General features: G+C 34.1%; 1 long non-coding RNA gene across 6 annotated transcripts in view; it reads right to left on the bottom strand.

Annotated features, from left to right (window-relative positions):
• LOC105369842 (uncharacterized) overlaps positions 1-4,567 on the bottom strand; it is an 86,958-nt gene extending 82,391 nt beyond the window's left edge. For 5 of the 6 annotated variants that reach the window (XR_001749205.2, XR_001749206.2, XR_001749204.2 and 2 more), the window contains exons 1-2: positions 4,467-4,567; positions 2,238-2,434 (exon numbers count right to left, since the gene is read on the bottom strand). This is a non-coding gene — a long non-coding RNA (uncharacterized LOC105369842). The remainder of the gene's footprint in view (positions 1-2,237; positions 2,435-4,466) is intronic. The other variant, XR_945099.3, reaches the window with a different exon arrangement.
• Positions 4,568-26,224: the final 21,657 nt, after the last annotated feature.

Below are 26,224 nucleotides of genomic sequence, written 5' to 3'. Positions count from 1 at the left end.
AGATTGGGTATGAGATAAAGATTTCTGTGAGAACCATTTCTTGTCTTCATTTTACTGGAAGGCCTAATCACTTCAACAAGGCATAGAAAGAAAATAAAAGCTTTGGCCAGGCAAGGTGGCTCACGCCTGTAATCCCAGGACTTTGAAAGACCGAGGCAGGCGAATGCCCTGAGTTTAGGAGTTTGAGACCGCCCTGGACAACACGGTGAAATCCCATTTCTACCAAAACAAAAACAAACAAAAGATCCAAAAACAAACAAAATTTAAGAATTAAAAAGGGGAAAAAACAAATAAAATAATAAAATGTATTATTGCATTAAATTTTTCATACATAGAAATAAATATACCCAAATACATTCACACATCTTCACAAATAAAACACTTAACAAGAAATGCATAATTACACAAATGGAAAGATAAGCCATGCCAATGGATGTGAAGACTCAATATTGCAAAGAGATAAAATCTTATGTTTTTTTCTGTGTGTACAAATGCAAACTCAATCAAAATCCCAACAAGCTATTTTCTTAAACCTGATCATCTTATTCTAAAATTTATCTGGAAATACACCAAGCCAAGAATAGGCGAGACATTTTAGAGGAAAAACAAGACTTATTCTACAAGTTAGCAAAGCTTATTATAAAAGATAGACAATTAGAATAATATAAAAATGAAAGCATTCAGAAATATATTAATATATGAACATTTGATTTATAAAAAAGCTGGCACTCTGAAGTCACATGTGTGTGTCTATATATAAAAGTATAAAAGACATACATATGAGTATCTATTTTGCATATATATAATATATATAATACATACACCCACAGTAATGTAAATGTGAAAGAAAAAAGTAAAGCTTATTTTAGGATAATTTTCTCACTTTAGGGAAATATTTCTTAAACAAGATATTGTAAGTACTAACTATAAAGAAAAATATTTTTCAATTTAGCCATATTAAATCTAAGAGTTTCTATTTATCAAAAAAGTTATGCCAGTGAAAATATAGGAACAAAGTAGGAGAATATATTTGTGAAACAAGACAATACAATTACATAACATATAAATATGACAGGAAAAACATAGACCAGTAGAAAAATGTCTAAGAAATTTGAACACACACTTCCCCTAAAATAAATATTGCAATGTCCAATAATCAGTAGATGGGGAAATACAAATTAAAATTAACAGAATCTCAGTATAAACACTTAACATGCTTAATTATTTCAAAATTAACTTAAATTTTGAAAAGTGATTATATCACATATTTGTGAGAATAAATAGTAATAGGAATTTTCATTTACTGCTGGTGTGACTGAAATTTTTGATATTATTTACTTGTATTGATGATACATGTGGTCTATAATCCAACAGAAAGGCAAGCAAAAGTGCACCAAAACACAAGTTCAAGGATGTACATAGAAGCATTATTATTGATAGCCACAAAATAGAAAAATAAAAATGAACTGTAATGGAAGAATGGATAAATAAATTGAAGAATATTTATGTAAGAGAATTTTATACATGAATGAAAATGAACAAATTATGCCTATGCGACAAAATAGGTAAATTTTACAAATATTAAGAAGTCTGACATAAAATATTACCTACTGTATGATTCATTTATATGAAAACATCAAAACTGTGAAAAACTAAAAAATAGTGTAAAGATATTTTAAAAAGCAAGGTAGTAATTATCATAAATATCAGAATAGTGGTTACTCTTAGGGAGAGGAAGGCAATTGTTACTGTGAAATCTTATGACTTGCACATTCCTGGTAGTGCTCTCCTTCTTTATCAGCTGTTGATTACATATTTCACTTTATAATTATTCATTAAACTCTAAATTTGTGTTTAATGCACTTTTATCTATGGATGTTACATTTCACTATAAAAAGTAGCTTTTGTTTAATTGTTTACCTATAAAGGACAAAAAATGTCCCCCCAGTAAGAGCTTTTCATCCCAGTATACTGAAAGATTTTGTACACTGAGGACCTCTGCAGGGAACATAAGAAACAGTTATTTCTGGAAAAACAGATTTCTACTATGGGACCAGGGATTCTTCAATTAAAATGTTAATTATCCACAGAAACCACATCATTATCTTATTATCTTCCATTAATAAAAAAAAGCCTGTAACGTTACCCCACTAAGATGAGGTGATTTCTTCCTTGCTACAGTTTTCATTTTACTCTCTCAGTATTTATATGTTGGGCAACATATAAATGGTACATACCTTTGGTTTTTACAAAATTTCACTTACATTAAGCTCCTTCTCTGTGAATAGAATGATCTTAGGAAAGGTAATTCCAAAAACTTGATTTCACCAAGATGAAGCATCAACTAGTGTGAGTGTGTGGAGGCACATTGTTACACTCCACACTTTGATTCCAAGGAGGTATCACAAAGGGAATAGATGTCTGTAGTTCATTTCTGGTGAAGCAATCAAAGTCAAATATAAGCAAAATGATTTAACACTAGCAAGAAGTTAGCACAGATGGGCAAGTGGTTCCACCTCTTATTTTACTGTGGTGTAAAGATGAGTCCAAAGAGTATGCTCACAGTTAAATAAATTGTTTAGAGTTTCTGAACACTCAATTTGTTTTAGTGACAGACATCGTGCCACCTACAGAAAGAGTCCATACCATGTAAATTGTGTAGATTTTGATGGCAACATACCCCTAATCAACCAGCAGAGTGGTGTTTAAAAGGAGTTAGATTTGAATGCATTGCTTTCCAGCTGTGTAACATTGGATAAGTTACTCTACCTAGCTGTTCCTGCATTTCTTCATCAATAAAATTGTAATGATAATAATATTGAAACCTATATCAAAGAATGTTTTAAGTATAAAAAGAGTTCATATATGAAAGTAACTTTAAACAAAAGATGGAACCCAGTGCAACTTCAATAAATCTTAGTTATTAGTTGACCTGAAGAGGTTTTCATATTAGATTCCAAATACATAACCTTTAAAAAAGACTATTTTAAATCCTCATTGTCTCACACACCACTAAAGTGACAGTAATAGAAAAAGGAGTACTGTACAAGAAGAGAGATAAATGCTATGAGTAAGAGGGATAAACAAGAAAAGAAAGCAAACACAAAAAATGAAATTTGTAAACACAGTTCCCAAACATTAGTGAAGAAAAGTTATCTAGAGATTGGTAAAGTAGCCAGATCACTTGGTCCCACTTGGAGAACTCCATGTGTTGTCCTCCATGTGATTCTAATGTTGATACTCCCTAGAATAACCTTAGAGAAATACTACAGTGTTTCTTATACCAGTCCCCTAGCTTGACAGGGATGAAAATGAGAGTTGAAAAAGTCATGCTACTCTAACATGTTTCTTCTCCAAAGAAAAAGGTAGAATCAATAGTGATGTAGAGGTCTACTAACTTCTAGGGAACCTCTCCATGCAAACATTTTCGTTTTTGGATTCTCAATTATATTGAAAAATAGAAGACTTAAATGGAGACTAATCATTCATCTTTTTACTAATAAAACAGGATGGAAGAATGCTTCTGTTTCAGAAGAAAAAACAGATTTCAGAATGCTGCCTGAAATCTACAAGCTAGTAAATCTCTTTTCATCAAGCTGACCTGTCTCCTTAGTCACAGAGGAAATGCTGTTACAGGAAGACTTGCTCTCCTGAGATTTGTACCATGAACCATATAGATATAGTACTACGAAGCACAGAGAAGAGAAAAAGCACCTATTTACTGGCCCATAGAGCCCTTGTGTACACGTATAGGGTGAATTTCTGTTGTTCAGTTACAACCCTGTTCTCATTGCTGAAGCTATCTGGAGACATGATGCTGACTGTTGGCAAACCAAACTAAAAATGTCACAATTGTTGATCAACACAGTTCCATGCAAAGGTGCCACATGTAGGGGATAGTCTGTATTATCTTGTCAACATTGTCTATAAAAAATGTTCAGACTGATGTTTTGCACCTGGCTTCTCTTATACTATTTTGATTTCCTTTCCAGCCTGGTTTGATTAGGTGACCAGGAATAATACAAAATATCCCCCTATGGATGAGAATATGGCTTTCCAGAGACCAAGGTATATCACACATATTTTGGTGGTTTGTGACCCAGCAATGAAGCATGCTTTGTGTGATACAAAATAGATGTTGGAAGCTGAGCCTGGATGTCTCAGACTTTCTTGATGCTTACCTATACTATCTCCTCCTCCTACACTGTATTCCTTACTTTTATCAGAGTCTTGTCAGTCCTTTCATTAATTAAAACAGGCACCATTAATGCACCTTCTCACCACTGAGATAAGTCACAGCTACATCAAAGATGTAGGCTAAACCAGGGCTAGAGAGAAAGTAAGAAGCTTTCTCCACAACCTGTCCTAAAGTTAGAGTTTCTATTTTATGAACCATGTGTGAAGAATATAGAGAGAAGAATATAGAGAAAGGAAATGAACAGGCAGCCGGCATTTTGTTCTCTTACCTTGAGGCCGCCCAGGAATGCAGATATTTTGTCAGGCGAGGGAATAAAGAGATTAGCGGGTAAATACTCTTCCCACCTTTGTGGGTTAATTTCTGGATAGTAACTTTCCTGTTAAACAGTAGTGCTTTTGTATTTTCCTGGGACCCATGTGAGCAGTTAGTTAATCTTTTGCTTTTGCTCTCCAAAGCCCTTAGATAGGCTAGAAGAGAGTCTAATTATACTAAATCCAATCATACAATGCACTCCTGGCTAATAATTCTGTATTTTCCCAGTTTAAACTACACTCAGCAATATTGTCCAAAGGTTTTTTTTTAAAATCTCACGAAAGATTATGCAATAAACTCTCAGATGTAAAAATAGCTAACTAATACTACCTCACAAGTACAAAAATGCCCTAAGTGTGTACCATATATTCCTTGTTTTTAAGGAAAGGATTAAATTAAATTTGCATGTTTTCTTTCATTTGGAAAACACAATCTTCAACAAACAACCATATACTCACTACCACAAATGAAAAGATATTAACATTTTGCCACATATTATTCTAATCTCTTATATGAAATAATATTTTACTGATAAAGTTGAAAGATATTCCTACACTTCTTTACTTTTACTTCCATTCCCAGAAAAAATTATTAGCAAAAATTTAGAATTTAGTATACATTTTTCCACTCCGTATTAGAATATATTTTCTACATATGTATTCATCCATAAACATGATGGAGATTTTGTGCTTTATTTTATGTAATTGGTATAATATTGTTCACATCTTGCATATACTTTTGCATTTTTCCAATATCACTGTAAGATTTTGAGATTTAGGTATGTTGAAATATATAGATGTATTTTGTTTTTATTGTTTATCCATTTTCAAGAGAAATCAAGGTCTAAAATAAATACTTTTGAAAATGCAAAGGAATGTGAGCCTCAAATTCTTCCCCACTCTGTTATTCTTAGTCTGCAAAAATATCAATTGCTTTTGTTTGTGTCATTGGTGGTATCATTATATTTTACTGCAATTTCCATGTCAACTTTTCCTCTCTCTCTCTCTCTCTCTCTTTTTCTGTCTCTCTTTCTCTCTCATTTATCTTTTCATTTTTACCTCTGAGCAGGACAGCTAACTATAATTTATTTTACATAGAATAGAGCCATTGTTATTGGGAAAAGTGGCACGTGGGGCCATATGACCATTTCTTACCAGCAGAAAGTAAGTAGAAGTCATAGATGTCATTTCCAGGGCAGTTTAGTAGAGAAGTGTTTGTTGTTGTTGTTGTACTATTGGAATGCAGGAGTTCTTAGGGGATAGGAGGATCCTCTGTCCCTGAATTACGATATGTGGAAAAATTGTGCACTGATGTGAAGCACCCACATTTAACTGTTATTTGGGCAAGAAATAAACTTATGTATTAAAGCACAGAGTTTTGTTTGCTACAATAGCTAGCATTACTTTAACTACTGTTCTTGTCTATATAAAATACCCACAGGGGATAAGAACTTCACTTTACCCTGCTAAATATTTCAACCATCTTAACGTACCCCATATTTACCCACAGTATCTTCTACTTGAAACTGTATAGTACTATAGAGGACCTTATTTGACAATCATTACCAGATTCCCTTAGGCAAATTAAGTTTTTCTTCCATATACTTAAAGCATTATTTTGTTGAAATGCCCCTATTTCCTCAAATACTAGGCTGGGAGCTTCTTAAGTGCTAGCAAGTGCTGAGTTGCTTGATAAATATTTAAATAAAAATGAATAAACATGTGGCCTTGAAGACGGATATCTGGTTTAGAACTCTATTTTATAACATATGGAGAGACATTTTTTAACAGACTTTATTAAAATCAGGACAGCATTTCTAAAAAATAAGTGCACTGAACATTTTGATAGACACTAATTAGGATCAAAAGGGCAGATTTAGCCTAATTAGAATGAATATTTCTTCATTATTTTAAGGATAAAACCAAGTATACAATATATTAGCCTTTTGAGAGCCAGACACCCTTTCAAAGACAAGGAGGGAAATGCTATCTGATTGAAAAGTATCAGAATTTAGTGCAATTCTAAAGAACATATAGCTGAAAAGAAGAAAAAGTGTCCGTTAATGTTTTATATATAAAACATTATATACAGCTTTATTTATATTTATAGTTTAGAAATATATCTAAATATTAGATTTTTCTATAAATTATTAGAAAATAAACCACTCATTTAAAATCTACTGAAAAAATCCTCCAGTATTTGGAAATTTTTCATGGAATCTAACCTACTCAGATATATTCTGCAACAAGCCCTAAGACACAATTATTTAAATATTAGATTTTTCTATAAATTATTAGAACATAAACCACTCATTTAAAATCTACTGAAAAATCCTCCAGTATTTGGAAATTCTTCATGGAATCTAACTTACTCAGATATATTCTGCAACAAGCCCTAAGACACAATTATTTAATTGACATTTATTGCTTTAATTATTTTAACTTCTTAGCATCTACTCTCACTTATTCTAGCAGCAAATAACAATTTCTTTTTCCTTCTTGTATGCATCCTTTGAAAGAGTATCATTCACATTTACTATCTGTCCCTAGACAAGATGTGGGCATGTAACCCCAGCTAGGCCTGTTAGACACTCTCAGGGCTTTATACTGTAAACTGGGTGACACAGTTACTGGGAAGAGGGTTGGAGCTGATTGATCAAAGCATCAGCAGGAGATCATCAATTTGTTCCTGCTTCCTCAACTTCTGGAACTTTATTAGTTCTTGCCTTCTCCCAGCTAAGGTGTTCAGTTCTTCCTTCAGTTAATTCTGCTTTCTCTCATGTGAGCCAGGGCAGGGCTCTGTAAATTGCAACTAAAACACCATGAAAATACTTGTTACAATGTTTAGGTTTTGGCATTACTCAAACACCTTCTGATGACTTTCTTAGTCCAATGTGAATAACTTGACTAACATTTGTCAAACTCTTTAAAATAAAATAAAACAAAATAAAAACAAGAAAACAAGCATGGCAACTGATCTCAGATCTCTAGTGCCTGGATTGCAAAAGTGATTTATGATATGTGGCAACTAAAATCATAAGAATGCTCAGTGCTTCTAGAGCTTTTTACTTTTTAAAGATGTTTCCTTAAAAATCACTATGATCTTATTTAATCCTCACAGGAACTCTGTGAAGTAAACAGAAAATGAATTATTACTCTCATTTTTTAAGGGAGAAAAATTGATGTAAAAAAGAAAAACAGATACTAGAGGGTCACTGAAATAAAAAAAATCTAAATAAAATAATTTTTATACTAAGTCTAAAATTATAAAACCACATTTGGGGAAGTCCTTTATTTTAATATAATCTTTTGTGTGAGAAGTCATATGGTTAAAACCAAAATAAGACTGGTCTTTGTCTTTCAATTCAATGTTTGATCTCTCAATCTTCCATCTCCTCAGTAAGTACTATCCTCACTTTTCTAGCTAACACCTTTAAATGTATAAGACTTGAAATAACTTTCCACTCAAGTGATGTATAGGAACATGTGGTATTATTCTGACACAAGAATGAAGTTGATGATAGTATTTCACCCTCAATTAGGTGATGAATTTTTGCACTGAAGAGATTGCGTATAGAGAGGAACCTTTATTTTCTGGAGTCTATGATACCTATTCATCCATTAAAATGTTAAAGAATACAAGCTAGAGGTTGGTAAGCAATAATTCAATATCTACCCATCTTTTAAATCATGATACAGTATTACTGTATATACATACACATGTATAAGTATATATGTATATATGTATGCATACATACTTAGAAATGTATTTATTCTTATTTAAACTGTGGAAAATATTTCAAAACCATAACAGGTTAATATATTCCTTTTTTATGACTTACAAATTGGCTTCATTTCTTTCTGCTCTTTTTTGTTGGAAAAAAGAAACAACTATCACCATTTCTAAAATAGACTTCATATCTCCGAAGAGCATTCTTAAATTATTCCTTAATTTTCTTTTCTCATACTAAATTAAGCTTTCTATTTTTACTGTTTTTCTCATAGGCCTTGATTTTCAACCTTTAATCATCTCCTTTGCTCAACCTCTGCCAAACTCATCACACATATTAAATTGATATCAGTTTGTTCATTTGGTGCCCGGTGGACACCCAGAAATCTGCAAAGTATCTTTCTTCCATATTCTTGTGATCTCAGCCAAGTGCAGAAATTCCAGGATAAATTTAAATAGCATTCCATATGCTGTAATAGAGGCTAAAAAATGAAGCCTGAACAGTGTCGACTTCATCAGGTAATAACTGCCTCTACTGTGATTTTTAGGTTAATGAAGAACTGGAAATTTATACAGTTTCATTGCTCATTCAGAAAATTGTCTTCTTGTCAGATTGTCCATGCTCATTGCATCTATGACTTGTAAATTTCCATTGAGATATTTTAGGCATCTCCCTTTTCACTAGCATATGAACAATAAAAGTAAGTTCTATAATTCAGATTGTATCTACACTTAAAAATTTTTTATTTTCACTGATAATCTAAAAAGAAAAGTTAAAGAATCAGCCTGTTGTTTTGTTTTGACTGACAACTATGGTATTTACTTACTTATTATTTTAAAGATTCAAGCATTTTGACTTAAGCATAAGTCACAGAAGCAGAATTTGTATTAGTATAACTAGACTTTCACTTTATTTGTTTGAAGTGTGAAATTCAAGGGGCCACATTTCAGATTCCAAAATAGTGTTTTCTTTCACTAAATTGGTTTTTGTTTCCATTCTTAATCTAAGATTGTAAACTAATGCTAATAGGCAACTAGCTCCTAGTAAAAGCACTTTCCATAGATTTCATAGGAATTACTATTCAACACTTTGTTCACTGCATGTACTTTTGTGATATCTGTTATAAAACTGTAATTACCCTCTGGCTCCTGGTATAATAAATCTGATTTAGTGTGCAAGTCACTTAGCCACTTTGATCATCAGTTTTCCCATCATATATATTTAGCATTCAAATTGGGCTATTGTGCAGATTAAAGGCAAAATATTGTATATAAGATTCCTTGCACATTATGTGGCGTACAGCAAGTCCTAAGAATAAATTATATTATTAAGTACATAATATTTATTAAATGTTATTTATAAGCTAGAGGGAAACAGTATATTTAAGCAAAGCTAATTACCATAAATGATGATAATAATATTATCATTATAATTATTATCAATAACTCAGTGGCTTAAAAGGACAAAAGTTTCCTTTTTTTTCTTACTCTATGACATTTATTTATTCATTTATAGATTCAGGGGTACAAGTGCAGTTTTCTTACGTGGAATATTGTACAGTGGTGAAGCTTGGGTTTTTAGTGTACCCATCACTCAAATAGTGAACACTGTACCCAATAGATCATTTTTCAACACTCGCCGCCCACCCACCTTCCCACCTTTTGCAGTCTCTACTGTCTACTTTCCCATTCTGTATATCTGTGTATACTCACTGTTTAGCTTCCATGTATAAGTAAGAACACGTGGTATTTGAGCTTCTGTTTCTGGGTTATTTCATAATGTATCCTACTTAAAAATTTTTAAGACTTATCTGAATATTAAACCCAGTGAACTTTTTTTCTTAAAAGTAAAAAGTGGAAAACGTAGAAACAAGAAAGAGCAACTAGATTCTTCCTAATGAAACTTAAATTCTTATTTGACTATTAGATGTGAAATGTACTGATATAAAATGCACATTTAAATAGAACTACTTCAGGGAAAGGAGTATAAAAATAAAACAAAATGTTTAAAAAGTCAAAATCTGAAATCTAATAAGTCTTGCAGCTGACCTAAAACTGCTATGCTTAATTAGGTTTCTAATATGTTAAAATATTGTTATATTTTCAAAGTTTAGGGAAACATATGGAGAAATAGTGGAAATCATACCAAAATTTGCTTCAGATGTTTGAAAAGTACTGCATGCTTTCTCTAATTGTGATCCCCTCCTCGTACCAACATTAATGTACAAATCTTTCTATATTGTTTTTATTCTACAAAAATGCCAAAACAAAAGACGAAGATAATCAAATCCTGAAATATCTTTCTCCCACTAAGGTAATTTCCTGTTAAGAGAGTTAATTATAGACACATTTTTAGCTGTAAACTAAGAACTTGGGCAATTGATTTTGCCCAGCTCTTTCAAAAGACAGCTTTAAAAAGTATAACCATATGGTTTTATTTTTAAAAAATTATGGCATGTGAAATATACAAAAAATAAGCATACGTTTATAATTTAAAAATCAATTGAAATGCTTAGAAAATAATATATGATGTTTTGGTGAATGTTAAATGAGAAATATACAAATACATTAGGCCCATGGTAGACTGTCAACAGTATGAATTTCCAATTTTCTGTTTTAATTTCCTTCCTTCTCTCTCTTTCTTTCCCTACTCCATTCCCTTTTCTAAACTTCAGCAACTCACAGCAATATATAGAAAGCAAGAGACCTTACCTTTGTACATATCTCTGGTTTCCCTTTAAACTAAATATTGAGAGTTAAAAATAATAATAATAATAAAAGCCTATAGAAGGCCAGTACATGGAGCTACTTCCTAAGATTTTTGTACATTGTCTTGTTTGGGCTTGTATAATTTCAAAAAATTACTTCATTAGGAACAAATAGATGTACAAATTGTGCAGGGAGAAAAATAACTTTTGTTACAAATATAGGTGTTAATGGGTCACTGGAAGCTTGATATAGATAGAAGTCCAGATAAGAAGTACTTTGAGGAATTCCTACGTATTTTACAAACATAAATACTATTTTTCAAAGAAGAATAATCACAATTTCGTTGACTTTTCAAATGATTAAAAAGTAATTAGGACGGGCGCGGTGGCTCACGCCTGTAATCCCAGCACTTTGGGAGGCCGAGGCAGGCGGATCATGAGGTCAGGAGATCGAGACCATCCTGGCTACCATGGTGAAACCCCGTCTCTACTAAAAATACAAAAAATTAGCCAGGCGTGGTGGCGGGCTCCTGTATTCCCAGCTACTCTGGAGGCTGAGACAGGAGAATGGCATGAACCCGGGAGGCGGAGCTTGCAGTGAGCTGAGATCGTGCCACTGCACTCGAGCCTGGGTGACACGGTGAGACTCCGTCTCAAAAAAAAAAAAAAAAAAAAAAAAAAAATTAGTTAAAATGAAATTCACTTCAAACATTACTAGTTCCTATAAAATAGAGATCTCTACAATATCATAAAGTGTTAACAATTTTTTTTATTATACTTTAAGTTTTAGGGTACATGTGCACAACGTGCAGGTTAGTTACATACATATACGTGTGCCATGTTGGTGTGCTGCACCCATTAACTCGTCATTTAACATTAGGTATACCTCCTAATGCTATCCCTCCCCCCTCCCCCCACAATTTTATGAAATGTTTTTATATTTTGCACCTGCAAGCAATGTCTAATTAGCAATTAGTGTTGGCTTACCATGAAAATTGTATTAGTGTAATAAAACTTTAAATTCCAAATTGAAGGCAGGTTTTAAAAAATAATCTTTAGTATTTATCTTCAAATTCAAATCAACAATGCCCTAGTTGTAATAAAACATAAAGTTAATGACATAATGTTCTAATACAAGCTTTTACCAGTTTCAATATTAAACACATTATGTTTAAATTTTGATTTATAATATAAAATGGTAATGGTTTATCCTTCCTTCCTTTTAGAAGGAAAGTTAAGTCTATGTACAATCCCTCCTCTTTACATAGCATGCTCTGTTCTCATGACCATTTAGTTTCTTTTTATTTTATGTGCTTCTTATAAAATGCATTCATTTGCTACCATTTTACAAGACCACATCAATAATTCATTTTGTCTTACTGAGCATTTGACACATAATTTCTACATGATAGTTATTTCATTCATTAATTCTTCATTTACTCGTGTTTATTCATTCATATTCATGTCCTTTTATTTATATTTATTGTTATTCATTTGTTCTTTGTTTATCCATATATATGGATTAGATATTTATATGTTTGACCATGGACTGACTGCTAGAGTGAGTAATTTCAAATCTTTGGAACTCTTATTCTGTTGGGGACATAATACAATATACTCTATTCTACATGAGAAATGATGAAGGAAAATGTGAAATAATAATAATAAAAGCAATGTGGTGATAGCATAAGACTGGAACAACTGAAAATAAAAGGGAGCTAAGACATTCACCCATGTGTATGTCAGCACTTAAAAGGGATTACAGCATGCATTATTTAGTAGGTGGTGTTACAAAAACTATATCATTATACGGAGAGAAATAAAATTAAATATCTACCTAATTATACATAATGACTTGAACTTCAGATGAATTAAAAACATAAATGTGAAAGGGAAAACTGTAAGGTGATTATATTACCTCATGTAGGGAGAAAAAGGACTTAAAAATTTTAAAAATATAAATCATAAAACATAGAAAAATAAACGAATCCTTTTTGACAAATCTCACCATTATCAAAATTAGTAGAAATATGATAAATTGTGAGAATATTCCATAGATAGATTTGTTATATTTATGAATCTCAATGTATATAGATGTTGTTTCATCAATTCTTTAATATCAACAGCAGAAAGGGAGGAACTCAGTGTCACCACATATTCTAGATGTATAAAATAACTCTATGCACAAGTAACAACTGTATGCACAAATCCAGGTACATAATGTATCATATTTTAACAACTTTTATTGAGACATAATTTACATAGAATAAATTAATCTATGTAAAGTGTGCAGTTCAATAGTTTTTAGTAAATTTACAGAGTTGTGCAAAAATCAGCAGAATCTAATTTCAGAACATTTTCCTCACTATAATAAGAAACACATAAACATCAACAGTCACTCCTCATGTTTTCTGCCGGCCCTAGGCAACCCCTAATCTATTTGTACCTATATAGATTTGTCAATTCTAGCCATTTCATAAAAATAGAATTATGCAATATGTGATATTTTGTGCCTAGCTTCTTTCAATTAATATAACATTTTAAACATTCATCCACATTGCAGCATGCATCACTCACTGCTTCGTTCCTTCTTATTGCCAAATAATCATCTATTGTATGGCTACATCAGATTTTGTCTACTCATCAGTTGAGGGGCATTTAGGTTGTGTAGTGAGTTGAATAGTGTCCCCCCAGAATTCACATACATCCAGAAACAGAATTTGACCCTATTTGGAAATACAGTATTTTCAGATATAATTAGTTAAGTTGAGGTCATGCCAGATTAAGATGCCTTAAATCTAATGACTAGTGTTCATATGAGAAGAGGAAAGCACACACAAATATACACAAAGAGAAGGCCATGTGAAGATGGATGTAGAGATTGCAGTGGTGAAGTCTTAAGCCAATAAATGCCAAGAACTGCTGATAAATTCCAGATACTAGAAAAAGCAAAGAAGGATTCTTTTCCAGAGCCTTCAGAGAAAGCATGGTATATTGGTCTGTTTTCACACTGCTGATTAGGACATACCCAAGACTGGGCAATTTACAAAAGAAAGAAGTTTGTTGGACTCACAGTTCCACGTGGCTGGGGAGGCCTCACAATCATGGCAGAAGGTGAAAAGCACTTATTACATGGTGGCCACAAAAGAGAGAGAAGCTTGTGCAGAGAAACCCTTGTTTTTAAAACCGTCAGATCTCATGAGACCCATTCACTATCCCAAGAACAGCATGGGAAAGACCTGCCCATAAAATTCAGTCATCTCCCACCAGGCCCCTCCCACAACACATGGGAATTATGGGAGCTACAAGATGAGATTTAGGTGGGGACAAAGAGACAAACCACATCATTCTTCCCCTTGCCCCTCCCAAATCTCATATCTTCACATTTCAAAACCAGTCACGCCTTCCCAACAGTCCCCCAAAGTCATAGCTCCTTTCAGCATTAACTCAAAAGTCCACAGTCCAAAGTCTCATCTGGGACAAGGCAAGGCCCTTCTGCCTATGACACTATAAAATCAAAAGCATGTTAATTACTTCCTAGATACAATGGGGGTACAGGCTTTGGGTAAATACAGATATTCTAAGTGGGAGAAATTAGCCAAAACAAAGGGGCTACAGGTCCCACACAAGTACAAAATCCAGCAGGGTAGTCAAATCTTAAAGTTCCAAAATGATCTCCTCTGACTCCATGTCTCATATCTAGGTCATGCTGATGGAAGAGGTGGGTTCCTATGGTCTTAGGCTGCTCCACCCCTGTGGCTTTGCAGGGTATAGCCTCCTTGCTAGCTGCTTTCACGAGGTCACGATGAGTGTTTGTGGCTTTTCTAGGCACATGGTGCAAGTTGTTGGTAGAGCTACCATTCTGGGGTCTGGAGGAGGTTGACCCTCTTCTCAAAGCTCCGCTAGATGGTGCCCCAGTAGGGACCCTCTGTGGGTGGTCTGACCCCACACTTCCCTTCTGTGCTGCCCTAGCAGAGGTTCTCCATGAGAGCCCAATCCCTGCAGCAAACTTCTGCGTGGGCATCCAGGCATTTCCATATTACATCTTCTGAAATCTAGGTAGAGGTTCCCAAACCTTAATTCTTGACCTCTGTGCACTCCCAGACTCAATGCCACATGGAAGCTCCCAAGGCTTGGGGCTTGAACCCTCTGAAGCCATGGCCAGAACTCTATGTTTTCCTCTTTCAATAGCTGGTGGAGCAGCTGAGATGCAGGGCACCAAGTCCCTAGGCTGCACACAGCACAGGAACCCTGAGCCCGGACCACAAAACCATTTTTTCCTCTTAAACCTCCGGGCCTGTGATGAGAGGGGCTGCTGCAAAGGTTCTGACATTCCTTGGAGACATTTTCCCCATTGTCTTGGTGATTAACATTTGGCTCCTTGTTATTTGCCCAAATTTCTGCAGACAGCTTCAATTTCTCCTTAGAAAATGGGATTTTCTTTTCTATTACATTGTCAGGCTGCAAATTTTCCAAACTTTTATGCTTTGTTTTCCTTTTAAAACTGAATGGTTGGGCAAGGTGGTTCACAACTATAATCCCAGCATTTTGGGAGACAGAGGCAAGTGGATCATTTGAGGTCAGGAGTTCGAGACCAGCCTGGCCAACATGATGAAACCCTGTCTCTACTAAAAATACAAAAATTAGCTTGGCATAGTGGTGGGTGCCTGTAATCTCAGCTACTCAGGAGGCTGAGGCAGGAGACTCACTTGAGCCTGGGAGGTGGAGTTTGCGGTGAGCTGAGATCACGCCACTGCACTCCAGTCTGGGTGACAGAATGAGACCCTATCTCAAAAACAACAACAAAAACAACAACAAACTGAATGCTTTTAACAGCACCCAAGTTACCTCTTGAATGCTTTGCTGCTTAGACATTTCCTCCACCAGATACCCTAAATCATTTATCTTAAGTTCAAAGTTCCATAAATGTCTCAGGCAGGGCCAAAATGCCACCAGTCTCTTTGCTAAAACATAACAAGAGTGATGTTTGCTCCAGTTCCCAAGAAGTTCCTCATCTCCATCTGAGACCACCTCAGCCTGGATTTCACTGTCTATATCATTATCAGCATTTTGGTCAAAGCCATTCAACAAGTCTCTAGGGAGTTCCAAACTTTCTTATATTTTTCTTGTATTCTTCTGAGTCCTCCAATCTGTTCCAACCTCTGTCTGTTATCCAGTTCCAAAGTTGCTTACACATTTTCAGGTATCTTTTCAGTTGACTGGAAGTTGAAGAAGCTACAACTTCTAAATAATATTTGGTATTAGGACACAGATGATGGCAAATAGAGTAGATAATGGCTCCTAAACAAAGTGTGATAGTCTGATAGCATAATAATTTTTATCATGGGATAAATTTTATCACAATATTTACTTGTGAAGGGCTACCATCAACATGATTAAATATTTCTGACAGACTGATTCATGTTGCTTCTGATTTCTCACCAGGTACAGAGTATAACTACAGTGCTCTGATAATTACTATCATGACTATTATGAGGCTTACAGACATGTAGTGTTCTTGCTCATAAGGATATTATAGCCATAGTTAGTGTGACAGAATACATAACAAAGTCTGATAAAAATATGTGATAGTGCATTGTAAGCGCTTCACATTATTATTAACAAAATAATGGATTGGTAAGAGGTAGAATTAGCTGACGAAGTGTTCCTGAAGAGTAATACTTGAAAGAAAGTATAGACTTCTGATTGCTAGAAAGTAGGAAAACATTCTAAGTGTAAGGAAACCCACATATTATGGAACAAGTAGTGTTAAGCAAACATATAAAGGGAGAAAATAAGAATAATGATGAGTAATGCAGTCAAAATCCGTGGATTAATGAAAGTGAGTGATCAGGTGTTTTAAATGGAGTCTGCAATGGAACCTTCCCAAAACTATTGTTAAGGGGGAATTTATAAGGTTTCAGGACAATGAATATAAAAAGTTTAGAAGACTAGTCTAATTTCTCAAGATGTGTTGCTGGGAGGAATGGACAGCGCCGGAGAATTTTGAAAGAGCTAGAGTGTGAGGAATAATGATAGGCAAATATCAGGTTTGGTTGAAATCACATTTATTAAATACTCATATTTTCCAGGCATTGTTCTATGTAGTTTACATGCATTAATCATGAAATCCCTGTAAGTAACCTAAGATATAGGTTACTTATCTTTATTAGTCATGATATGGGTTATTGTATCAATATAGCATTATTGTCCTCATTGTACATATGAAAAAACGAAGTCACAAAGAATTTTAGAAAATTTTCCAAGGTCACTTGGTGAATACATGTAAGACCCTAGTTTTGTCTTCAAGTATTCTAACTCTTAAAACCATACTCTTAAGCACGATGTTAAATTGTGTCATCTGGTTGCCTAATCTCTCTGCATAACAGAAGGCTTGTTATTTTCACATTTCACATAAGCTATGGTTAAAAACTGTTAAACTGATCATTCCAAATCCTATTTCCCCTTAATTTCTCTGCTAAGAGTTTCTTCATTTGTTAAACAATTGTTTTCTTTCTTGCTGTCTGTGATTTTCCTTCCTTTAAACAGTTTCTCAGCAATTAGAATATTTCTGTTCAATAGAATGGAAGTTCTGTTTTGTAGATGTTTATTTGTAAAGGAAAATGCAACAATTCTAATTCACCTTGGAAGATAATAATACATATTTACACTCTCTAAAGAAAGACAGAAACAAAAAGGTAAGAGGCGGGGAAGGAGGCAGGAGAGAACAAAGGAAGGAAGGAAGGAAGGAAGGGAGGGAGGGATGGAGGGAGAACGAAAGAAAGAAAGAAAGAAAGAGGAAGGAAAGCAAGCAAGCAAGAAAGAAAGAAAGGAAGGAAGGAAGGAAGGAAGGAAAGAAAGAAAGAAAGAAAGAAAGAAAGAAAGAAAGAAAGAAAGAAAGAAAGAGAAAAAGAAAGAAAGGAGGGAGGGAGATTACCTTTTTAAAAACTAAGTTTTTTTCACAAAGAAAAAGATTAATCAATTGGAAAATACAAAATTACAAACTCTGTTCCTCAATCTCTTCCTAAAATTAAGACAGTATCCAGACCGGAAGAAGACATTTCCTATTTGGCAGTATTTCCTAAAAGTTGATGATATATTTACCCTTTGATCAAGAAATTTGATTGCTAGGTATATACTCAACAGAATCAAATGTATATGCCCCAAATCATTTACAAGCACAATACATAATACTATTTTTCTATATGTAATGAGGTGACATATTTTATTTATTTTTATTTTAACATGATAGATTACGTTATTTATTTACTTATTTTATTTTTTATTTTTCTGTTTTTTTAAACTTTTCTTTCAGGTTTGGGGTACATGCACAGGTTTGCTGTAGAGGTAAACTCATGTCACAGGTGCTTCTTGTACAGATTATTTTTGTCACCCAGGTACTAAGCCTAACTATAAGCCAATAGTTATTTTTTCTGATCCTCTCCCTCCTCCCACCCCCCCATTCCTCAGGTAGACCCCAGTGTCTGTTGTTCTTCTCTTTGTGTCCATGTGTTCTCATCATTTAGCTCTCACTTGTAAGTGAGAACATGGAGTATTTAGTTTTCTATTCCTGATTTAGTTTGCTTAGGATAGTGGCCTCCAGTTACATTCATGTCCCTGCAAATGACATGATCTTATTCTTCTTTAAGGCTGCATAATATTCCATGGTGTATATGTACCACATTTTCTTTACCCAGTCTACCACTGATGGGCTTTTAGGTTGATTTCATGTCTTTGCTGTTATGAATAGTGCTGCAGTGAACATGCAGGTGCATGAACCTTTAGGGTAGAATGATTTATATACCTTTGGGTATATGACTAGTAATGGGATGGCTGGGTCAAATGGTAGTTCGGTTTTTAGCTCTGTGAGGAATCTTTGCTCTTCTTTCCACAATAATTGAACTTATTTGCACTCCCACCAGCAGTATATATTGTTTCCTTTTTTCTACACCCTCACCAGTATCTGATATTTTTTTGAATTTTTAATAGTAGCCATTCTGACTGGTGTGAAATGGTATTGCATTGTGGTTTTTGATTCACATTTCTCTAATGATCAGTAATGTTGAACTTTTTTTTATGTGCTTGCTGACCACATGTATGTCTTCTTTTGAAAATTGTCTGTTCATGTCCTTTGCCCACTTTTCAATGTGGTTATTTCTTTTTTGCTTGTAAACTTGTTTAACTTCCTTATAGATGCTGGATATTAGACCTTTGTCAGATGCATAGTTTGCAAGTATTTTCTTCCAGTCTGTAGATTGTTTGCTCTGTTGATAGTTTCTTTTGCTGTGTAGAAGCTCTTTAATTAGATCCCATTTGTCAATTTTTGATTGTGCTGCGTTGCTTTTGGGATCTTTGCCATGAAATCTTTTTCAGTTGCTATGTCCAGAATGACATTGCCTAGTTTGTCTTCCAAGATTTTTATCCTTTCAGTTTTACATTTAAGTATTTATCCATCTTGAGTAAAGTTTTGTGTATGCTGTAAGGAATGGGTCCAGTTTCAATCTTCTGCATATGGCTAGCCAGTTACTCCAGCCCCATTTATTGAATAGAGACTCCTTTCTCCATTGCTCGTTTCTGTCAGCTTCACCGAAAATCAGGTGGTTGTAGGCGTGCAGCCTTATATCTGTGCTCTCTATTTTGTTCCGTTGGTCTGTGTGTCTGTTTTTGCACCAATACCATTCTGTTTTGGTTATTATAGAACCGTAGTATAGTTTGAAGTTGGGTAGTGTGACGCCTCCAGTTTTGTTCTTTTTGTTTAGGAATGCCTTGGCTATTCAGGATCTTCTTTGGTTCCATATTAATTTTAAAATAGTTTTTCTAGTTCTGTGAAAAACGTCATTGGTAGTTTGATAAAAACAGTTTTGAATCGGTAAATTGTTTTGGGCAGTATGGCCGTTTTAGCCACATTGATTCTTCCTATCCATGACTATGGAATGTTTGTTCATTTGTTTGTGTCACGTCTGATTTTTTTGAATAGGGTTTTGTAATTCTTATTGTAGAGATATTTGACTACCTGGTCAACTGTATTCTTAGGTATTTTATTTTTTTTGTGGCAACTGTAAATGGGATTGCACTCCTGATTTGGCTCTTGGTTTGGGTATTGCTGGTGTATGGAAATGCTAATGATTTTTGTACATTGATTTTTGTATCCTGAAACTTTGCTGAAATTGTTGATCAATTTTAGGAACTTTTGGGCCCAGACTTTGGTGTTTTCTAGATATAGAATCATGTGGTCTGCAAACAGGGATAGTTTGACTTAAGTACACAGACCAGTGATACAATAAAGCAACCACACAAACAAGTCAGTATAATAAACAGCTAACAACATGATGACAGGTTCAAATTAACACATGTCAAAAGTAACCTTAAATGTATATGGGATAAATGCCACAATTAAAAAGCACAGAGTAGCAAGGTGGATAATGGAGGAATACCCAATGGTATACCGTGTTCAAGAGATCTGTCTCTCATGAAATGGCACTCATAATTTCAAAATAAAGGGATGGAGAAACATCTACTAAGCAAATGGAAAACAGAAAAAAAGCATGGGCTACAATCCTAATTTCAGACAAAACAGATTTTAAATCAACAAAGATCAAAAAAAGACAAGAAGTTCATTATATAGTACAAAGGAGTTCAGTTCAACAAGACTTAACTATCTTAAATGTATATGCACTTAACACAAAAGCACCCAGATTCATAGAGCAAGTTCCTGGAAACCTTCAAAGAAACTTAGGCTCCCACACAATAATAGTGGCAGACTTCAACATCTCACTGATAGTATTAGACAGATTGTCAAGAGAGAAAATTAACAAAGATATTCAGGACCTAAACTCAAAACTGGACCAAATACACCTGATAGACATCTACAGAACTCTCCCCCACAAAACCAACGGAACATACATTCTTCTCATACCACATGGCACATACTGTAAAATCATCCACACAACCAGACATAAAACAACTGTTAGCATACGCAAAAGAACCAAAATGACACCAACCACTCTCTCCAACCACAGCACAATTAAAAATATATTCAAGACTCAGAACATCACTCAAAACCACACAATTAAATGGAAATCAATCAACCTGCCCCTGAATGGCATTTGGGTAAATAATAAAATTAAGGCAGAAATCAAGAAGTTCTTTGAAACTAATGAGGACAAAGATACAACATACTGGAATCTTTGGGACACATCTAAAGCAGTGTTAAGAGGGAAATTTATAGCACTAAACACTCACATCAAAAAGCTAGAAAGATCTCATTAACAACCTAACATCACAACTAAAAGAACTAGAGAAGCAAGGGAAAACCAACCCCAAAGCAAGCAGAAGACAATAAATAACCAAAATCAGATCTGAACTGAAAGAGATTGAGACATAAAAAAAAAATTTCAAAGATTAATGAAACTAGGAGCTGGCTTTTTGAAAAAAAATAATAAGATAGATAGACCACTAGCTAGACTAATAAAGAATAAAAGAGAGAAGATTCAAATAAACACAACTAGAAATGACAAAGGGAATATTACCACTGACCCCACAGAAATACAAATAGCCTTCAGAAAGTACTATGAATACCTATACCCACAATAACTAGAAAATCTAGAAGAAATGGATAAATTTCTGGACACCTATACCCTCCCAAGACTGAACCAGGAAGGAATTGAATCCCTGAACAGACCAATATCGACCCCCAAATTGAATCAATAATAAATAGCCCACCAGCCAAAAAAGCCCAGAACCAGACAGATTCACAGCTGAATTCTTCCAGATATATGAGGAGTTGACATCATTCCTACTGAAACTATTCCAAAAAAATTGAAGAGGAGGCACTTTTCCCCAACTCATTTTATGAGACCAGCATCACCCTGATACCAAAACCTGGCAGAAATACCACAAAAAAAGAAAACTTCAGGCCAATATCCTTGGTGAACATTGATGCAAAAATATGTTTTTTTTTTTTTGCACCCAGCCACTAGCAAAGTGGGCCGGGTGAGGTGGCTCACCCTTGTAATCTCAGCACTTTGGGAGGCCAAGGCAGTTGGATCACCTGAGGTCAGTAGTTCAAGACCACCCTGGACAACATGGTGAAACCCCATCTCTACTAAAAATAAAAAAAAAATTAGTTGGGTGTGGTGGTGTGTGCCTGTAATCCCAGCTATTGAGGAGGCAGAAGCACGAGAATTGCTAGAACCCGGTGGGGTAGAGGTTGCAGTGAGCCGAGATCACTCCATTGCACTCCAGCCTGGGCGACAGAGCAAAGTTCCGTGTCAAGAAAAAACAAACAAACAAAAAATACTAGCAAAGTGAATCCAGCAGCACATCAAAAAGGTAATCTGTGCACAATTAAGTAGCCTTTCTCTCTGAGATGCAAGACTGATGCAACATATGCAAATTAATAAATGTGAATCATCATATATACAGAACTAAAGAAAAAACCACATGATTATCTTAAAAGATGCAGAATAAGCTTTTGATAAAATTCAGCATCCCTTCATGTTAAAAACTCTCAACAAACTAGGTAATGAAGGAACACACCTCAAAATAATAAGAGCCCTCTATGACAAACCCACAGCAAACATCATACCAAATGGGCAAAAACTGGGAGCGTTTCCCTTGAAAATTGGCACAAGACAAGGATGTCTTTCAAAATAGTACTGGAAGTCCTGGCCAGAGCAATCAGGCAAGAGAAAGAAATAAAGGGCATCCAAATAGAAAGAGAGAAAGTCAGACGATCCATGTTTGCAGTTTACTAATTTTAAATAAACTCATATCCCTAAAATATACCCATCTCTGTGGGTTATAATACCTTTTGTATTCACTGTTGAGTTTGGTATGGTAATATTTAGGCTTGCATTTTTCATCTACGCCCATGGGTTAAATTTATATGTCAATTTATTTTCATGTACTATCTCTATTTGGTTTTGATATCAAGGTCATGTACATCTTAAAAATACAATCGGTGTGTATGTACCTTCTTTTTCTGTTTCCTAGAGCCAATTGGTGTAAGACTGGAATAATATGTTTTTAGAAGTATAAAATCACTACTGGTGCCATGTGAGATTAGAATTTTCTTCAAAGAAAATTTTTGACCATTGATTTAATTCAATTATAGAATTATTTACAATTTATAGTTTTCCCTTGTCAGTACCCAACTTGTTCTTCTAATGACGTCTATTTTATGTAAACTTTCAAATTTATTACTATAGATTTGTTTAATATCATGTATTAACTTATTAAATCTCACCTAAAGTTGTCATTCCCACTAAAGGTTCTGCCCCCTATCCCCACCATGAATTAATTGGACTTTGTTGATTCCATTTTATTTGTTTTTTATTTCCTTAATTTTACTTCTTATTTTTAACATTTCCAGTCACCTACTCTCCTAGAGTTTATTCTTTTTCCATGTTTTGGTTCATTCATTTTTAGCTTTCTTCTTTCCATTTTCTACCTTAAGCAAACCCTGGACATTTTCTTCTAATTCCTCAACCAAATCCTAAATTTACCATGCTTGTCGACTGCTTTCAAGGCATGTGAAATTGTGTTGTCTTAAATCTGGATTTGTATATTAGTCATATTTTGGCTGCATAATTTTTTAAATATTTTATCAGTTTTTCTATGCTAAGGAAGTTTTTATTATTGTTAATGCTCTGATGGTTTAACCCAGTGTACACTTGAAGGGAAAAAAAATGTGTTCTTTTCTTTCTTATTCCCTTTTCTTTTTTTCGTTTTCCTTCTTATTTGTTTGTTTATTTATTTATTTATTTATTTTAGAAAGGGTCTTCCTCTGTCACCCAGGCTGAAATGCAATAGCGGGATCACAGCTCACTGCAGCCTTGACCTCCTGAGCTCTCAAGTGATCATTCCACCTCAGCCTCCTGAGTAGCTGGAAACACAGGCATGCACAACCATGCCTGGCTTTTTATCTTTTGTAGAGATGAGGTATCCCTGTATTGCCCAGGATTGTCCCAAACTACTGGGCTCAAGATTTCCTTCCCACCTCAGCCTCCTGAAGTGTGGAAATACAGGTGTGAGCCACCGCACCAGCCTGTCTTCTCTTCATAGGTGAAATTATTCTATTCATTTGGATTTTCTCTTAAGACATGTGTTTTATTCACTTCTTTAGCTATGCTACCCTTTCTTGTTCTTATTTTATTCTCAACATTGAAGCAAACATTAGGTAAAATATGCAATAGCTATTTAACTGATGTAAAACTTAAAAGCTCTTTTTTTGCATTTTCCCAGTGATTCATTATATTTGAAATTTGAAACTTTTATCATCTAAAATAGTAGATCTCTTTTCATGGTATCAAAGCAGGCCAGTGTTGACACAGACAGCCTTAAAGTTGACAGAGATATTTCTCATTCATAGGTCAGTCTAATTTAATGTTGGCAGCCAGATTCCAAGTGGCGATTCAGAAACCTATGCTCCTTCCATCCTGTAGATTATTAAGTTGTTCTGCTGGTTTCTCTGCATTTGCTTATGAAATGAATGTGAATTACAGTATGTCACAGGATATTTGAGGAAGCAAGATATGGAAGTATATGACATTTCAATCAGCAATCCAATCATTGGCTATAGTTAGTCACATACACTCCTATAGATGGAAGATGGCTGAGAAATGTAGAAGCATTCATTTGTTTTTCTTCCATGGCCAGTTTAAATAGTTATCAACATGGTAGTAAGTTAATTGAAAATGACAGCAACAAATTACAGCTTGGAAAATTGCTTCAATCTGTGGCTAAGTCTTCTGTTAGCAAGATGAAATGATGCAGATCCAAATAATTCAGACACCAACTGGACTATAAAATTGATTGTCATTTGCATGGTTCCATCTTCAAGTATATAGTCATGGCCTTGAATCTTTATAAATTTAATGTCTTTTTATAATTAGTTTTGAAATGTTATCAAAGAAAAAACGTTTTTTAAACTAAGTACTGGGGACACTGTCAAGATTTATCTTTTTATCTAGACTTTTTGAAATTGAAACTATATATATAATCCAAAATTAACCTGATTTGCTTTTCTTTTAGTGATTCCAAAAGGATTAATTAGTGTTTTGCTTCCTTTTTAACTAACTGACCATTAGCTTTTCATCTGTCTTCATATTTTGGAGATATGTTAGATTACTGATAACAGTTATTCTGGTAATAAGTACTCCTCTCAGATTTCAAATTAGTAGAAACTGTTCTTCATTTATTATTTAGATGAATTTGTCTCTTTATATTTACAGATTCATTGGTGATTTATACATTCAATAATACTTTCATTATTGCATTCAATAGTTACTTAGAATAAAAATTCATATGAAATAAATGCAATAATGAAAGGCAAAAATTGTCTAAAACATGAAGGGTTATTTTTAAAAGAATAATTTAAAAATCAAACAAAATACCCTGGCAATGTCTATTATCACATATTTTAGTTTGCATACTTCTTATTGTTTTATATATGAATGTATGCAAGTCATATAAGAAGTTTAAATTATAATGAGAAGCAAAAAAACAAAAGTAATCTTAGGCATTAACTGATTCAGACAAATATAGCATTTAAAAGCCATACTTCACTTTCTTAGAAAATATTTCCTCTAACAAGATTTTTATGTAATCCCTGTGAAAGAATGACTTCAATTTACTAAGTACACATTTACTATGGTTGTTTACATAGATATAGCATTGCAATTTCTTCAACATGGGGTAGAGGAATGATGGTAGAATCCAGGTGACTCACTGAGTTTCTTCAGTGAGATGGGAAGACAGATAGGAAGTCAGAGAAGCTGAGGCAGATACATTTCAAGACTGATTATTTATGAATAAAGATCTATGCAGATAAATATTCTCAAATATCTGCATAGTGGTACCCTAGAGTCTTTGACTGAATACTAATCTGTATAGTTATAAAGTGAGACTACAAGGTTAGGCAAAGAAAAATTGCAGAAAAAGCTTTAAGTTGAACAGTTACAGGAGCTTACCCATGTCTGAGAAATATTTGCATTTCACTAGACAGAGTGGAGATACCTTGTTGAATATCTGACATTCAGTAGAAAGACCAGAAAGATAACACTTTATTAAAAGACATAAGCTAGCCTTAGAATAATAAATATGCTACACTCCCACAATTAAGCTTAAAAATGCTATTGTTTGAATTTAAAGAATTCAACAGCATATCAAAAATTAACACTTTTTAAAAGACGAGAGCAAAGTCAAACATTCAAAAATGTAACACATAATGCTTAGCACTTAATCAAAAATTACTAAACATATAAAGAAGCACCAA

The sequence above is a fragment of the Homo sapiens genome, chromosome 12 (assembly GCF_000001405.40).
Source record: "Homo sapiens chromosome 12, GRCh38.p14 Primary Assembly".
NCBI lineage: Eukaryota > Metazoa > Chordata > Mammalia > Primates > Hominidae > Homo > Homo sapiens.
Note: the sequence above shows the minus strand (reverse complement) of the source record. Positions and strands in the feature narration are given on the sequence as shown.